The sequence below is a fragment of the Homo sapiens genome, chromosome 10, assembly GCF_000001405.40.
Source record: "Homo sapiens chromosome 10, GRCh38.p14 Primary Assembly".
NCBI lineage: Eukaryota > Metazoa > Chordata > Mammalia > Primates > Hominidae > Homo > Homo sapiens.
Genome location: NC_000010.11, coordinates 100,672,925 through 100,688,704, shown reverse-complemented (window position 1 = coordinate 100,688,704; position 15,780 = coordinate 100,672,925). Strand labels below are relative to the sequence as shown.

Here is a 15,780-nt window from a genome sequence, read left to right as displayed (position 1 = left end):
GCCAGATTGTGGTCAGTCCTCCCAATGGACAGGGTGTCCCCTACCTCTCCCATCCCACCTTGAGCCCCCTTTTCTGGAGGTTTCTTTCCTTCTGCTGGGTTTCTGTCCTCCAAGTCACTTCTTCACCCCAGCCCTACTAGCCAGCTACTTTCGTCTTTGGGCATCTGCTCCTGATGTGCCTCTCTGGCTTTCCTCTTCCACCCTCAGCCCCTCCCATCTGCCCTGCTCTCAGGCCCACACCCACCCCTGCTGACCCCAGCAGCCTGCGCCTCCTCTCTTCTGCCCTCAGCCTCCTCTGCCTCCCCACCCTGGCTGACTCTCAGTTCCGGAGGCCTCCTGCCTGCCCTCCTCGCCTGGCTTTGGCCCCCTCTGCACTGGCCTTCTCTCCCTCCCTCGGTCTCTATCTCTGTCTCCCCCAGTGTCTCTCCCCAAGCAGTCCCTCTCTACTCTGACACACCAGCCGGTAAGGCAGCCAAGGCTTCCTGCTGTCAGCTGGGGAATAGATAAAGATAAATGATATTATGTTAAATTCCACTTAATGACAAATTTTTAATTTTCTGAACATGGTCATTTTCTGGCTAGTGAATCAAGTGGAGGGAGCTAATTACATGAAGATCTGAACAAAAATAACTCCTAATTTTCAAGGATAATGGAAGAGAAATGTTGGAGATTAATGGCACTATTTATCTTTTTTAAATTTCTATCTTTCTCTGTGATAGCCGTGCTCCCCAAGGAAAATATTCATAAAATGAAATTGAAGTCGTAACTTAATAGGTTATTAAAATTTTTGAGTGCATATCACTTTCCTTCCGCAGCACTGTAAATTTAAATTGAAGTTTGCGGCTCCCCGAGTCACCAGCGGAGTTTTTTTTATGATGGCACAATAGAGAGAAACATGCATCTTTGTCAGGAGGTATTTGCTAGTCTAATTTTATGGCAGGCCGGATTATCAGACGGGAATGGCAGCGCCGGGGGAAGCTGACAAGCCCGCAGCCGGCAGCCATGTGTTTCCATTAGCGCCCCGAGCCGTCCGGGGCTTCTCTGGACTCTCATTTTCCACTTCAGTCTTTTATCTTGATTTAAAGTGAGGGCGCCCAATATTCAGGGCCTGTCATTTTTCTCTCTCACACACTCTCACGCGCTCTTCCTCACTTCTCCCCTCCCACTTCCTCTGCTTGGGGCCCGCTCCCTTTCATCTCTGGGGTCTCCAGCGTGGGCGCTGCCCTCCTTCCCTGTCCTCACCCAGCCCCATGGGCTCCTCTCTGGGAGGAGGAAGGGAAAAGAGGCCGGGGCCGGCAGGGCAGCCGCCAGAGTTAGTTATAAATTTGAGTGAAGCCTCCTCCCAGTGGGCTCATCAGCTGAACATTCAATGGGACACCCTGTGTGCAAGAGAGGGAGGGGGCTCCCCAGGCTCAAGCCCATCAGGCCCCCTAATTGAGTGTTAATGGAGTTTCGAGGAGGAGGGGGCGCAGCTGTTGGCCCAGGGGACCAGAGGGCAGTTGGAATGATCACCAGTCTCTCTTCCCGTCCCTGTCTCTGTTTCCATCCAGGTCTCTGTCCCTGGCTTTGTCTCTGGGTCTCAGAATCATAGACCTAGAGGGAAACTTAAAAAGAGCCCAGACCAACTCCCACATTTTATAGATGAACAAACTGAGGTCCAGAGATGGGGAGTGTCTTGTCCAAGGTCCCATAGCTAATTAGTGGCTGAGAAAGCACAAGAAGTTGGATATTAGAGATGCTTGGATGGCTGAACTTCCCGTCGGACCACACTGCCTCCCACATCCTCTTTGTTCTCGGGTGGAAGCCAGCATCTTTGTGTCTGCCTTAGCTCCCATCCCGCTTTGCCTACTGCTGTGGTCACCAACATTCTCGAAGGCACTGGCTTTGACACCCAAGGTCATCTTTTACTCATATCCTGTCCTCATCCCCATACCCTGTCGCTTACCAGGTCCTGCCATCTCTATTTCTCCCATCCTCTCCTTCACTCAGGTTCACCCACCCTGTTACATCAGTCCCCCGTCTGCTGACTTGTTTCCATGCTCTCCCCCAACTCCTGTCCCATGGTGACCTCCCCTAAATACCCCAAATCCCCAAACACTCTTCTGCCTGTGCCCAGAACCCCACTCTGCACCCTCCGTCCCACACCTACAGGGTTGAGTTCCGTGTTCTCACTCAAGCCTCAAAGCCTGCAAGACCAGGGCCCACTGTCTCCCCTCTGTCCCCCTCATCCTTGCCCACCATATATCCATGTAGGGTCAATTCCAGCCAGGTGGCACCACTGTACCTTTGATCTCGGTGTCCCCACTAGGAATGTCCTCTCCCGTGGCTCCAACCAACCACTCATGACCCTCTTCAAACTACACCCTCGCTGGGCTCCGCTAATCTACAGTGATCTTTCCTCCTCTCTAGCCTTCCTTAGCCCTCACCACCCAGGCGTCCATCATCTGTGAATTCACGGCCTGGGACCATCACTGCACTTTCTGTGACTTGTATCATGCTGGACCAGGGACCCTATGTTTAGTTCACATACCTTATTCCAGTGATTGCAAATGCTCTCCTGGGTCACATATCCTAACCCATATGTCCCCTATGCAGCAGGGACCCCTGGATAAGACATTAGACAGGAAGTCTGTCTAACTCACTCCCTCTGTCTCTCACTCATGTTGATGCTAGCAGAGATCTGAGACTTCAGCTCCCTCATTTTATAGATGGAGAAACCGAGGCCCAGCCAGAGGGGTGTCATCCAGGGTTCTGCCTGAGTTGAGACTCACATCTGGGTCTCTGGCCTCACCATCCTGCTCCTAGGGTTCAGGTCATCACTGTCACTCATGTGTAAGTTGGCAATAGTACTTGTAATCTCAGGGACTTGGTTTCTCCAGGATGGAGAAAAGCAATGCTGGACCATGATGCCTTCCTCAAAGTGGGATCGGGGTAATTGGGGAACCCTGTAGCAATGGCAGGACTTTTAATGAAGCATCTACTTCCCCTCTCACCCTCTTCCACATCCAAGACTGTTCAGCCTTTGCCCATGTGTTCCCTCGCCTGGCCACTTCCAAGGGCTCTGACCCCTCCTTCTCCTCACCCACCACAAAGGTGGTGGCCCCCCATTGTGTGGGGGGCCATGTTACAGGCATGTTGCAAGCATGTGGCAGGCATGTCACAGGCATGGCCATTTCCAGTTGGCTGCCTATGCCACACAGGTCAGGTGGCGAGTGGCCCAGGCTGCCTGCACGCCGTGTTTAGCAGTGGAGCTGAGTGGAGGCGGTGCCTGGTTCCCCAGCCACAGTCTCTCGTTAGAAAGAAATTAAAAGCCACTCAATTTTGGCTAATATCCCTCTGAAGGCCTTTAACTCCACCTGTGACTAACCCATTCATAATCGCTCCGTTTTAGTGGCTCAGGCTGATGTAGCCTCAATTAATTTGGGAGGAGAGATAAACGGCCATTCCTCTTTGTCTCCCATCCCTTCCTCCCTTCCTGCCCTCTCTGTCGTCTCCCCCACAGCCTCTCTGTCTCTCTCTGCCTCAGGCTCAGTTTTTCTTTCTCCCTTTCTGAGTCTCACCTTTCTCATCCTGATTGTGGGGGTCTCTTTCTCTCTCTCTTGAAATTTCTGTCTTTCCAACTCTTTCTGTGTCTTGTTCAAAGTCTGTCTGAGTTTTTTTTTGTTCTCTCTCTGTTTTGTTCTGCCTTTCACTCACTCTGTCTCTCACTCTTCCCAACTCTTTCTTTTTCTTCATCCATTTCTCTGTCTGTCCGGGCCGCTGTTCTTTTGTCTTTGTCTTCCTGCCGTGTTTCTCTGGGCCCCCTGCTTCTGGTCACTTTGCCCATTGTTCACTCGGCTTTGGGGCTAGTTTCCATACCCCTGAGTGCACTGTGTGTTTTGTCTTGCTCTGTTTCTGATACAGTTTTCCTGGCTGTCTCTCTCCTCATCTCTGTCTTCTTTGCCGTCTCTGTCTCTTTGTCTCCGCCGCACCACCTCCGGATCTCTCTTTAGTTGCCTTTCATTCCCCCCACCCCTTCTATCTTAACCCTTCTCCCACAGCTTCTCTTCTTCCTCCTTTTTCTCTCTTGTTTCTCTCCTTCCTTTCCTTTTCTTCTGCCTCTGTCTCTCCATTTGTCTCAGTTTCTGCTGTGTCTCCCTGAGTTTTTCTCTCTTACCTTCTTTTTTCTGTCACAGAAATGACTTTTCTCTCACCCCTGCCCCACAGCGCACGCACCTTTTTTCCTGGGGCCTCAACACCCCCCCACCCAGCCCACAAGTCCTTTTGTCTTCCCCTCCCCTCTAGATTATTATTAATGATAAAAGCTCAAACATCACATCAGTAATTTCTGAGTGAGTTTTGCAATGAAACTGGGGCCTTCTCAGCCCCTCCCGAGTCCCACAAATTTTACTTTTGTAATTTCACGCCTCTGGTTATCACCACGCTGCTCCGTCCCTCTCTGCCTCTCAGCTCTCCTCCCCTCCCCCCTCCCCCCCGGAGAGAGCACTTAAACTTGTTTTCATTCCCTTATTCTTTATTTTTTTAATGTCCACTCTCTCCGGAGTCAGTAATGTTCTTCCTCTCTTTCCTCTCCCATTTTCTGTTAATTCTGTGCCATCTGCCTTAGCATCTGTTAAAAATAAAATTTCCCTCACACAATGAGAGGCCTCCCTGCTCCTCCCCTCCCCCCTGCAGCCCCCCAGGTTTGGTGCCGGGGCCGTCAGATGCCACTTCCTCTCCTGGGATCCTCCCCCCTCCCCCCGTCCCTAGTCTGGTTTTCAGAGAAGAGACACAGCGCCGGGCAAGCAGGCGGCAGGGAGGGAGGGGGCTGCCCAGGGGGCCTGGAGCTGGAGGGGCAGCTGCAGAGGGAGCTAGAACTGGGGGGTGCAGAGGATGGAACCAGGCTCCACCCACTTGCCTTCGGGACCCTGCCGAGGCTGGAGCTTTGAGCTGCTGAGACACAGCACCTGCACAGGTAGGTGACAACAGGTGGGGGAGAGGTTTGAGGAGACAGTCCTCGCTCCCCAGGGAAGGAGTCGTTGATAAATCCATCAGCCTTTTTCTGAAAAATAATGCTGGGGCATGAGGCTGGGATGGTGGGGGAAATGGATTGGGGGGATGGAAGGACAGCCCCTAAGTCCCAGTAGCTGGCCTCAGTTTGGGCTAAATATGATGCTAGACAAGGTGTCCTTAAGATCGGCTGCCCAGGGTCCCCTCCCTATGTCTGCTGGAGGACTGTGTCCCTGCTGCCCTAAACTCAGCTTGGAGAAGGGAGGGGAAGGGAGTCAACTGACCCCCATTCCCTGAAGACTTTAGGAGGCAGAATGCTCTTGGGTTGAAGCCAGCTTCCCAGAGGGTCTGAAAGGAGACTGGCGGTGTGTATGTTTGTGTGCCTGTGAGATTATGGTTTCCTGTCTTCAGTGATCTGTGCAGGTGTGTCTAGGAAGTGTGTGCATATGGACTGGATTTTCACTGATTTTCTTTCTCTGTCACATCATGTCTGGCTACAGCTGTTAAGTGTGGGTGTATTGTGGGTGTTATGGTGGGTGTGTAGCTATACCTCTCCATGAGATGGTGTGTGCCAGTGGCTATGTTGTGACTTTGTATCTCTGTGGGTATCTGTATAAATGGTGTCTTACAAAAAAAAAAAAAAACCTATCTTCCTGTGTATGTGGCTGTGTACAGTTGTTCATATCTTATTATTTTGGTGTGTTTGTATGTGGAAGTGTTACATACCTTGTGTATCTGTGTATTTGTACATTACATCTCTTTTGTGATGTTGGGTGTCACTATTTCTCTGTGTGAAACCTCTTTCCCTTGTGATGGGGTGCTCTGAATGTGACCAATGGCAGATAGGCACTTGTGTATGGCTTGCTTTACTTCTGAGTGAGATAGTGAGTTTGGTAGTCTCTCTCTCTGTGGGAGGGTGATCCTGTATGACTGTCTCTGGTGACATATGCACATTTGTGTACGTGTGTGTGCACACGTGTGCTGCATGCTTCCTTTTACTCAGTGCCACACAAATCTGTGGGTACTGGAGGTGGGTTTGGCTGTGCCAGACATGGTTGGGACGAGGCATGTACAGTTATGGTGGTGGATCCAGGAAGGTGGACTGAGAGAAGATCACAAGTGGGAAACTGAGGCAGCTCAGGTGTGGGATGGTGAAAAAGCACAGGCTCTAATACCAAACAGTTCTGAGTCCAATTTTTTTTTTTTTTTTTTTTTGAGACAGAGTCTTGCTCTGTCACCCAGGCTGGAGTGCAGTGAGGCAATTTTGGCTCACTGCAAACTCCACCTCCTGGGTTCAAGCAATTCTGTCTCAGCCTTCCCAGTAGCTGGGACTACAGGCTCATGCCACCACACCTGGCTGATTTTTGTATTTTTAGTAGAGACGGGGTTTCACCATATTGGTCAGGCTGGGCTGGAACTCATGGCCTCAGGTGACCCACCAGCCTCCGCCTCCCAAAGTACTGGGATTACAGGCGTGAGCCACTGTGCCCAGCCCCTGAGTCTAATTCCTAGCTCTGCCCTTAACCAGGTCAGTGACAGCAAGTTACTTAAACTCATTGAGTCACAGTTTCTACATCTATAAGATGAGAACAATCATATTTATGCCATAGAGTTGTGAGGAATAGAGACAAAAGATGTCAAACAACTAGACTGCACCTAATAGTAATAAAATAATAATAACAAAACAAACCATTATTAAGTGCTTACTATTACATATTGGCTTCCTTTACTCCTCATATCCACTCTAGAAGGGTCCTTACTGTTTTAGAGATGAGGAAACTGAGGCACAGAACATAAATAACCAAGATCAGACAGCTAGTAATGGCAGAGTACTTGCTCAGCAAATGATAGCTTTATTTGGAAAGTAGATGCTTCCAGCAACTCCTGGTAATATTATTCTTATGAATATTGGGGAGATGAGTATGCATCAGATAGACAGCACTTTGTTCCCCCTTATAAAAGTGGTCTCTTTCCAGGTCATCCCAAACCCTGCACCCTAGAGGAGCTGATGGCTCCTGGGACTGTTTTGGAGACTGGACAAAAGAGGGAGGCTGAGGAGAAGGATATGTCCCCATCCTCCTGGCTGCCTCTTGCCAGCCTTGATCGACACCAAAGACGCAGTAATCTCTCTCTGGCCCGAGGGGAGCAGCAACGTTTGTGAAACAGATTTTTACAAAATGTTTTGACCCTGCTCTCCCCTCCCCCCGCATCCCTGCCTGGCACCGTGTCACCTAATTAAATCAGCCTTCGCGGGCGTCTCCGCTCCCTGCTAATTGTGCCCTGGGCCGGCTTCCGGAGGAGGCTGCTGTCTCCATCCAAACACCGCCACCCGCTCCCCAACCCAACTCCCAAGGGCAGTGGAGGCTGAGTGTCTGTGTCTGTGTGTGTGTGTGTGTGTGTGTGTGTGTGTGTGTGTGTAGGGAAGGGGTTGCAGGAGGGATCCCCAGGGGGTCTCCTGTGGCGATTTCCGCGGTCCTCCCTCGCGGAAATCCGGGAAACTGAGGCACCGGCTCCAGATCTTCTCGGCCCAGCTTCTGCCCAAGGACCGGGGCCCAGATCTGAAATGACCTGGGGCCTCGGGAAGGCCAGCCGGAGCGTATCCGAGTAATTGTCTCCGCCAGACGCAGAGCCGAAGCAGGCGGCTCGGAAAATCCCGGATTTCTTTCCCCTTCACCGGCTGCACCGGACCCGCTGGAAGCCGGGCGGTTTCATTTACAGATCCCAGCCCAAGCGCCGGGGGAGGCTGGGCTGGGCTGGGCTGGGAGGGCGCGGGCCGCCGCCACCTCTGTCCAGGGTGCTGAACGCGCACGGGGCCGGACGGCTTTTCTGCGTCTGCCGGCATCAGAGCAATGACGAAAAATACTTACAGGCGACTTCTACTGAACGATTACGTGAGGCATGCAATGAGCTAAGCGCTTCCAACCTCTGTAGAATTAATTCTCACTGCAACCCTAAGAAGGGAAGTTTTCCCATTTTAAGGATGAGAAAACTGAGATTTAGGTTAAAGAGCTGGCATTGGGGATGGTCAAGGGAGACATTCACTTCATCTGTAGTGTCTGATTTCCTTTCTATTCTTTTTTCACAACCAATAGTACATTTATATATTACTTGTGCATTAAAAATAAGTTTTTTTAAAGTGAATTTTTTAAACTGTGGAACAGTCTTTTGAGCATATAACCCAGGTTCTTCAAAGGGAAAAGAGATTCATACACATTTTAAAAAGAGAAAGAAAAAAGCAACCAAATACATCATTGGGTGGAACTTGTGTGGTTTCTTATTTGAACAAACCAAATGTTAAAAAAAAAGGAAAATTTGGATATGAATTCGGTAATTGATGATATTAATGAATTCTTACCAATTTTGTAGGTGTGATAGTGGTATTGTGGTTATGGTTGTTTGTTTTTTAAGTCTTTAGTCTTTTTTTCTTAAAAAGAGATGTTGGCCCATCGCGGTGGTGATCCCAGCACTTTGGGAAGCCGAGGCAGGCGGATCACCTTAGGTCAGGAGTTTGAGACCAGCCTGACCAACATGGAGAAACCCTGTCCTACTAAAAATACAAAATTAGCCGGGTGTGGTGGCACATGTCTGTAATCCCAGCTACTCAGGAGGCTGAGGCAGAAGAATCGCTTGAAGCTGGGAGGTGGAGGTTGTGGTGAGCTGAGATTGCACCACTGCACTCCAGCCTGGGCAACAAGAGCGACACTCCGCTCTAAAAAAATAAATAAATAAATAAAAAAGAGCTGTTAAGTGACTTGTCCAAGGTTACTTAAGAACCTCTTTCTCAACTACTCTAACAGCCCCCTAGCAGATCTGAGCAAGTCTACAGTCTGGTGTGTTATGGGGGCCTGTCTACAGGTTTTTGTGACTGTCTCTGTGTGGGTTGGTATGAGGCGCTGGTATTATATCTTTGTGGGAGACTGTGAGTAGTAAGTTTTGAGTGCTAACTATATGCCAGCCTTTCTATAATAATATCTTACAGCATTTTAAACTCAGAACAATGCTGGGAGGGAAGAATTACCATTCCAGTATTGCAGATGCAAGAACTGAGGCAGAGAAAGTAATTGCTTGAGGTCTTCCAGTTAGTAAGGGATGGCACTGGATCCCACGTATTTTGACTCCATTTCCTAATGGTCTTGCTAATTGATTAAGCCACAGTGGCCTTACAGCATGTGTAAGAAGTGTGCCTGAATATGACTTCATCTAGTGAGTGGAAGTCAACAACTGTGTGTATGATCACAGCAGGGACTCTCTTCCTGTGATACACTGGGGTGGAGTTGCAGGGAATTACAGATCTGAGGAAGGAAGATTGACTTAAAATAAACCAATTAGCCAGGTTCGGTGGCTCACACCTGTAATCCCAGCACCTTGGGAGGTCGAGGTGGGCAGATCACAAGAGGCCAGGAGTTTGAGACTTGCCTGGATGGTGAAACCCTGTCTCTACTAAAAATACAAAAATTAGCTGGGTGTCGTGTCACACATCTGTAATCCCAGCTACTTGGGAGACTGAGGTGGGAGAATCACTTGAACCTGGGGGCGGAGGCTGCAGCAAGCTGAGATCATACTGCTACACTCCAGCCTGGGCAACAGAGAGACTCTGTCTCAAAATAATAATAATAATAATAATAAAATAAACCAATCAATGGGAATGAGAATGGGAATGATCAGATCCACTAAAGATTTACATGAACTGAATAATTTACCTTGTGGCAAAATACAGCTAAATTTGCTTTTGAAGTTAGAATCTCCCTGTCTATAATGATAAAACATACTGTCCATTAAGCACCCCCCAAGCTTCTGTCTCCTTATCTGCAAAGATACATAGAAACCATGCATATATAGCACACAGTCTGCCACAAAGTAAGGATTCAATAGAGTGACCTTTGTTATTGAAGGAAGAAGCATAATATAATGCATGAAAACCAGAGCAGGGCATAATCTTGGTCTCAAAATTCACTAGCTGAGTGGCCTTAGGCAAGTGACTTACTTCTCTGGACCTCACTTCCTTCTTCTGTGATAGCGAAATAATCGTACTTTAAAAGTTCATAAAACTTAAATGAGATAATATATAAAGTTCTTGGCATAGTGCCTAGCATATAGTAAGTGCCCAACAAGTGTTCACAGTTGCTACTTTGTACCAAGTGTTTTACATATATTCTCTCTAAGCCTACAAGCTATTTGATATTCCTGCTCAGGCTCTTTTTGTATTCCAAATGCATACTTGTTCCACTTACCCGGCTGCCGGTCTTTCCAAGAGCGACTTCCTCTATTTGAATGTTTCTGAGAGTCAGTGCAGAGGGCTTGGCACAGGGGACTGAAAGGAAGACCGAGAGGGAAGGACTCTGGCCACAGGAAAAAGCACTATTGTGGGAGTTATGAGATTGGAGTTAACATCTTGAACTTGCCATTAACTGATTGTATGACTTTGATCAACTCATGTTTTTCCTCTCAGAGGCTCAGCTATCCTACCTGTAAAATAAGGAGGGTAGACTAGATGAGCTATGATTTTTTTTTTTTTGAGACAGAGTCTTGCTCTGTCGCCCAGGCTGGAGTGCAATGGTGTGATCTTGGCTCACTGCAACCTCCGCCTCCCAGGCTCAAGCGATTCTCCTGCCTTAGCCTCCTGAGTAGCTGGGATTACAGGCAAGCACCACCGCATCCGGCTAATTTTGTATTTTTAGTAGAGACGTGGTTTTACCATGTTGGCCAGGCTGGTCTTGAACTCCTGACCTCAGGTGATCCACCCACCTCGGCCTCACAAAGTGCTGGGATTACAGGCGTGAACCACCGTGCCCGGCCTGATGAGCTATGATGTTGTAAGATTCTCTGGGTAACTGCATGTGTTCAAGAGATTTGAGGAGAATGTGAAAGTATGACTGTGAATTCTGTTGGACTGTGAGAATGTACGAAAGAAGAGTGTTGGGTTGAGTTGCAGGGTTGTGGGTATGGTTTCAACAACATAAATGACAATGACTGAAAGGAACTCATGACTACACTTCCTTAAGATGAAGTATATCAGTGTGAGACTGCACAGGAGTGAATAATGTAGGTGGGAGTGTGTAAACATCAAATTCTGTGAATGTGCTGTGTGCAAGAATGTGGGTGTAAAGGTGTGAAAATTATAAGACAAATTATGTGAGAATAAGAGGGTATGGGTGTGGTTGTAAGGGAAGTATATAAGTTGTGGGATTAGATGTGAATGTGTGAGTGCAGAGGTGACACATGTGTGAGGGATACTGACAGAGAGAGCAGAGTAGGGGAGGGTTCTGCAGAGCAGGCCCCCCAGGCAGGAAGAACCTTAGACATTTTACCCTCACCGCTTTCCTCCCCTTGTGGGGGCCTCTAGAGTGACTTGTAGTGCACTGTTTCCACCATGGTTCTATGCCCCTCAGCCACGGTATCAGGTGCACTTTTTTTTTTTTTTTTTGAGACGAAGTCTCTCTCTGTTGCCCAGGCTGGAGTGCAGTGGCACTCCAACTGAACTCACTGCAACCTCTACCTCCCAGGTTCAAGCAATTCTCCTGCCTCGGCCTCCCGAGTAGCTGGGATTACAGGCGCATGCCACCATGCCTGGCTAATTTTTGTATTTTTAGTAGAGACGGGGTTTCACCATGTTGGCCAGGCTGGTCTCGAACTCCTGACCTCAGGTGATCCACCCACCCTGGCCTCCCAAAGTGATGGGACCACAGGCATGAGCCACTGCACCCAGTCCAGGGACACCTTTTGAGGAAAATCGAAGTTAACACTTGAGGTCCCACTGTGGGCAAACCCAGTGTAGCTTCCCTTTCTATCCTCTCCCTAACAGCCTTGGCCGGGAGACTTCAGAGATAGTGGCAAGACTGACAATGGGAGAATATCCTTGGGGCTGGAGAGGCTGAAACAGACCTCATCCCCGCACTGAGGTGGGAATATAACCCTTTCTTAAGAATATTCATTCAGGACTTCAGCTTACTAGGTAGAGATTTATGATTATACAGAGAACACAGACAGATATACAATTATACTAGGAAACAAGGCTTACCTAGACCTTCATAATCACAGATGTGTCCACACACACACACACACACACACACACACACACACACACACAGAGAGAGAGAGAGAGAGAGAGAGATAAAGGCAGGAAACTGGTCTGAATCAAAGTTTTTGTTGTTGTTTTGTCTTTCAAGAAAGTGCTCATTCATTTAAGCCCCGGGTGTTCAATCTTTTGGCTTCCCTGGGCCACACTGGAAGAAGAATTGTCTCAGGCCACACATAAAATACACTAACACTAGCTATAGCTGATGAGCTAAATATAAATATATATGTGTGTGTGTGTGTGTGTGTGTGTATATATATCTGTGTGTATATATATGTGTGTGTGTGTGTATATATATGTGTGTGTATATATATATATAAAATGTTTTAAGAAAGCCTACAAAGTTGTGTTGGGGCATATTCAAAGCCATCTTGGGCTGCATGCGGCCCACGGGCCATGGGTTGGACAAGCTTGATTTAAGCAAAGGATAAAGGACTAATAATAACCTCTTTGGATAGGAATATACAGAGGTACAACCTTTGGAAAAGGCAGTTTGACAGTGTGTGCCCAAATATAAAATATCCTCGGTGCCCCTGTGTCCTTAAGAAAGGTTCCTTGTGTCCAGCCTGAATCCAATAATTCCATTTCTAAGAATTTACCCTAAGGAGATAATTGTACAAGTGCAAAAAGATCTGTCTGCAAATACATTCATCTCAGGGTGTTTTAAATAGTGCAAAACTGTCTGGGCATGGTGGCTCACACCTGTAATCCCAGCATTTTGGGAGGTTGAGGCGGGTGGATCACCTGAGATCAGGAGTTCAAGACCAGCCTGGGCAGCATGGTGAACCCTCATCTCTACTAAAAATACAAAAATTCACCTGTCGTGGTTGTGCACACCTATAATCCCAGCTACTTAGGAGGCCGAGGCATGAGAATTGCTTGAACCTGGAAGGTGGACATCGCAGTGAGCCGAGATTGTGCCATTGCACTCCAGCCTGGGCAACAGAGCAAGACTCCATCTCAAAAAATTTTTTTTTAAAAGTGCAAAACTGAGAACAACCTAGATGTTTGTCAACAGAAGACTGGCTCAGTACATAATGCAATGGACTATAATGCAACTACTAAAACAATCATATAGCTCTCTTTATTGAAACAGAATGGTGTTCATGCTGTATTATTGATTAAAATGGTAGATTATGGAACAGAACATACAATGTTAGTGTGTTTGTATTGCACACCTATATATATGTTTATTTAAAGGCAGAAAGATGTTTCTGGTAGGATGGTCACTAAAATAGCAACAGTGGTTCTGTGACTCCAGTGGGCTTTATTTCTGGCTTTCTTTATATTTTCTATATAGTTTACAATTTGTACAGTGATGATGTGTCTCTCTTTTTTTTTTTTTTTTTTTTTTTTTTTGGGGGGATGGAGTTTTGCTCTTGTTGCCCAGTCTGGAGTGCAATGGCGCAATCTCGGCTCACTGCAACCTCCGCCTCCCGGGTTCAAGAGATTCTCCTGCCTCAGCCTCCTGAGTAGCTGGGATTACAGGCATGCGCCACCATGCCCAGCTAATTTTTGTATTTTTAGTAGAGACGGGGTTTCTCCATGTTGGTCAGGCTGGTCTCGAACTCCTGACCTCAGGTGATCCACCTGCCTTGGCCTCCCAAAGTGCTGGGATTACAGATGTGAGTCACCATGCCTGGCTGTCTTTTTTTAAAAATAGAAAGAAAGAAAGCTGCTTTCTGCATGCTGTGCCTTCTCTGTGCCAGTCTCTGCTTGGCACAGACAGCACAGCAATGAACAAGGGAGTGGCTCCTTAGGAACTGCCCAGGATTACACCTCCACAGCAAAGGTGTTGGGAGTCACAGTGACCTTGATGGTAGCATCCCAAATGCCCTACAACTGCAAACTGTGTCCTCTTCCTCCTGCCCTGCCCCTTGCCTGTGTTCAAATGATCTGTGTTCATTTTTTGGAACCAGAGTGAGAAGATGGGGGTCACCTAGAGAACCTGTGGGCTTGGACATAGGGGAGGGGGGCAGCTGGGCAAGACTGGGGTGGCTTCAGAGACACCCTGTGGGGAGGAAAACCTAGGCCTGCTTCTGTCCTTGGTGCCCCTATGTCCATAAGAAAGGTTCCCTGTGTGCAGCCTGAATCATTTTTTACTTTCTTGGTGAAAATAATCCTCCTGAAAGTGCCTGAAATCATTCTCCTCTGGGGACACACTCCTTAAAACCTTGGGTCTGTAAGTGATCCTAGAAGCCAAGGATTTCATTGTTCCCCACACTAGTCCCATTTTGGGGGGCTTTAGCCTCTACTTGAATGCCTCCAGGGCAGGAAACTCACTCTGTCTTGAAATAGGTCTCTTCTGTTTCAGGCAGCTGTAATGATTAGAAAGTTCTTTCTTAAGACAAGAGCCCAGGTCAGGCGAGGTGGCTCATGCCTGTAATCCCAGCACTTTGGGAGGCCGAGGCTGGTGCATTGCTTGAGTCCAGGAGTTCGTGACTAGCCTGGGTGACATGGCGAAACCTCATCTCTACAAAAAATAGAAAAGTTAGCTGGTCATGGTAGTGTGTGTCTATAGCCCCAGCTATTCAGGAAGCTGAGGTGGGAGGATCCCTTGAGCCTGGGAGGCGGAGGTTGCAGTGAGTCAAGATCATGCCACTGCACTCCAGCCTGGGTGACAGAGCGAGACCTTATCTCAAAAAATAAAGGAAAAGGAAAAGAACCTGAATCTGTCTCCTGGAAGGTGCCTGTCCCCTATCCCTGCAAAGGAGACGTTCTTCAAGGATGGTTGTTACTATGATCTGACTGTTTCTGTCTCCCCCAAATTTGTAAGTTGTACCTGCCACTGACCTTCATGTCTATGGCCACAATCTCGGGCTTCTCAGACTTGCATTTTGCACCTTGTTATGTGGTTGATTAACTAGTGTAGGTCTTCCTTACTAGACTGGACTATTCCCTGAGGATAGGGGTCTACATCTTATTTTTGTACCCCTAGCGCCAGCCCAATGTGTGACACCTAGTAGACATGCAGGGAACAGTTGAATGAACATGGAGTTGTTGAAGAGGGGGTGCATGACCTTTGTGAAAGGCAAATTCAGCCTTTTGTCAAAGTTGGTCTTGGAATGGGGGGGTGGAGGGGAGAGAGGCATTCAACTTCATTTAATCTCAATGCTAGATGGTTGTGTGGCCTCAGGCAAGTTACTGGGTCTCTTAGAGCCTTAGTTTCCTATCTATGAAGTGAGGTACATAATAGTATTTGTCCCACATGGTTGTAATAACAAATCAAATGTAGCAATTAGTGCAAAGTGCCTGCCACAGTGCCTGCCACAGATTAAGTGCCATTACTATCGCTTTTGTTGCTTTTGTTGTTTTGGAGGGGGGAGTACACATGGATTATTATTATTATTTGGTAGTTCATTTCTACCACCTAGTAAAAACTCTGCCCCATCCTTCAAGCCTCCAGCTCAAATGCCACCTCCCAAATGCCCAGACATCCTCAGGAAGTCACTCTCCACTCCCCTGTTGAATAGACAGCACTGTATGTGCTTCTGTTTCAGCACTCACCAGGAACTGCCATCATTTGGAGACATCAGCCCCCTCCTCAACAGTGAACTCCGGGAAGGCAAGGGTAGCCTGGTAGTCTCAATCTCCCTTTGCCTGCAGTAGGTCTGACCTGTGGGAGAGGTTCAAAAATGTTGGGCGAATTTAGGGGAACTTCAGAGCTCCTGGAAATCTGAAAATGTATTGAAAATGGATGAATATGTGATAAAAAT

The 15,780-nt window shown here is 47.9% G+C and overlaps 3 annotated features.

The window, feature by feature from the left end:
• Positions 691-1,195: an enhancer, noted in NCBI's record as "H3K4me1 hESC enhancer chr10:102447267-102447771 (GRCh37/hg19 assembly coordinates)". NCBI's record gives its function as "activates a minimal SCP1, AML or CMV promoter by ChIP-STARR-seq in primed H9 embryonic stem cells {active_cell/tissue: H9 hESC(primed)}" and the evidence as "EXISTENCE:reporter gene assay evidence [ECO:0000049][PMID:30033119]".
• Positions 4,350-4,851: an enhancer, noted in NCBI's record as "H3K4me1 hESC enhancer chr10:102443611-102444112 (GRCh37/hg19 assembly coordinates)". NCBI's record gives its function as "activates a minimal SCP1, AML or CMV promoter by ChIP-STARR-seq in naive and primed H9 embryonic stem cells {active_cell/tissue: H9 hESC(naive and primed)}" and the evidence as "EXISTENCE:reporter gene assay evidence [ECO:0000049][PMID:30033119]".
• Positions 7,476-8,087: an enhancer, noted in NCBI's record as "H3K4me1 hESC enhancer chr10:102440375-102440986 (GRCh37/hg19 assembly coordinates)". NCBI's record gives its function as "activates a minimal SCP1, AML or CMV promoter by ChIP-STARR-seq in naive H9 embryonic stem cells {active_cell/tissue: H9 hESC(naive)}" and the evidence as "EXISTENCE:reporter gene assay evidence [ECO:0000049][PMID:30033119]".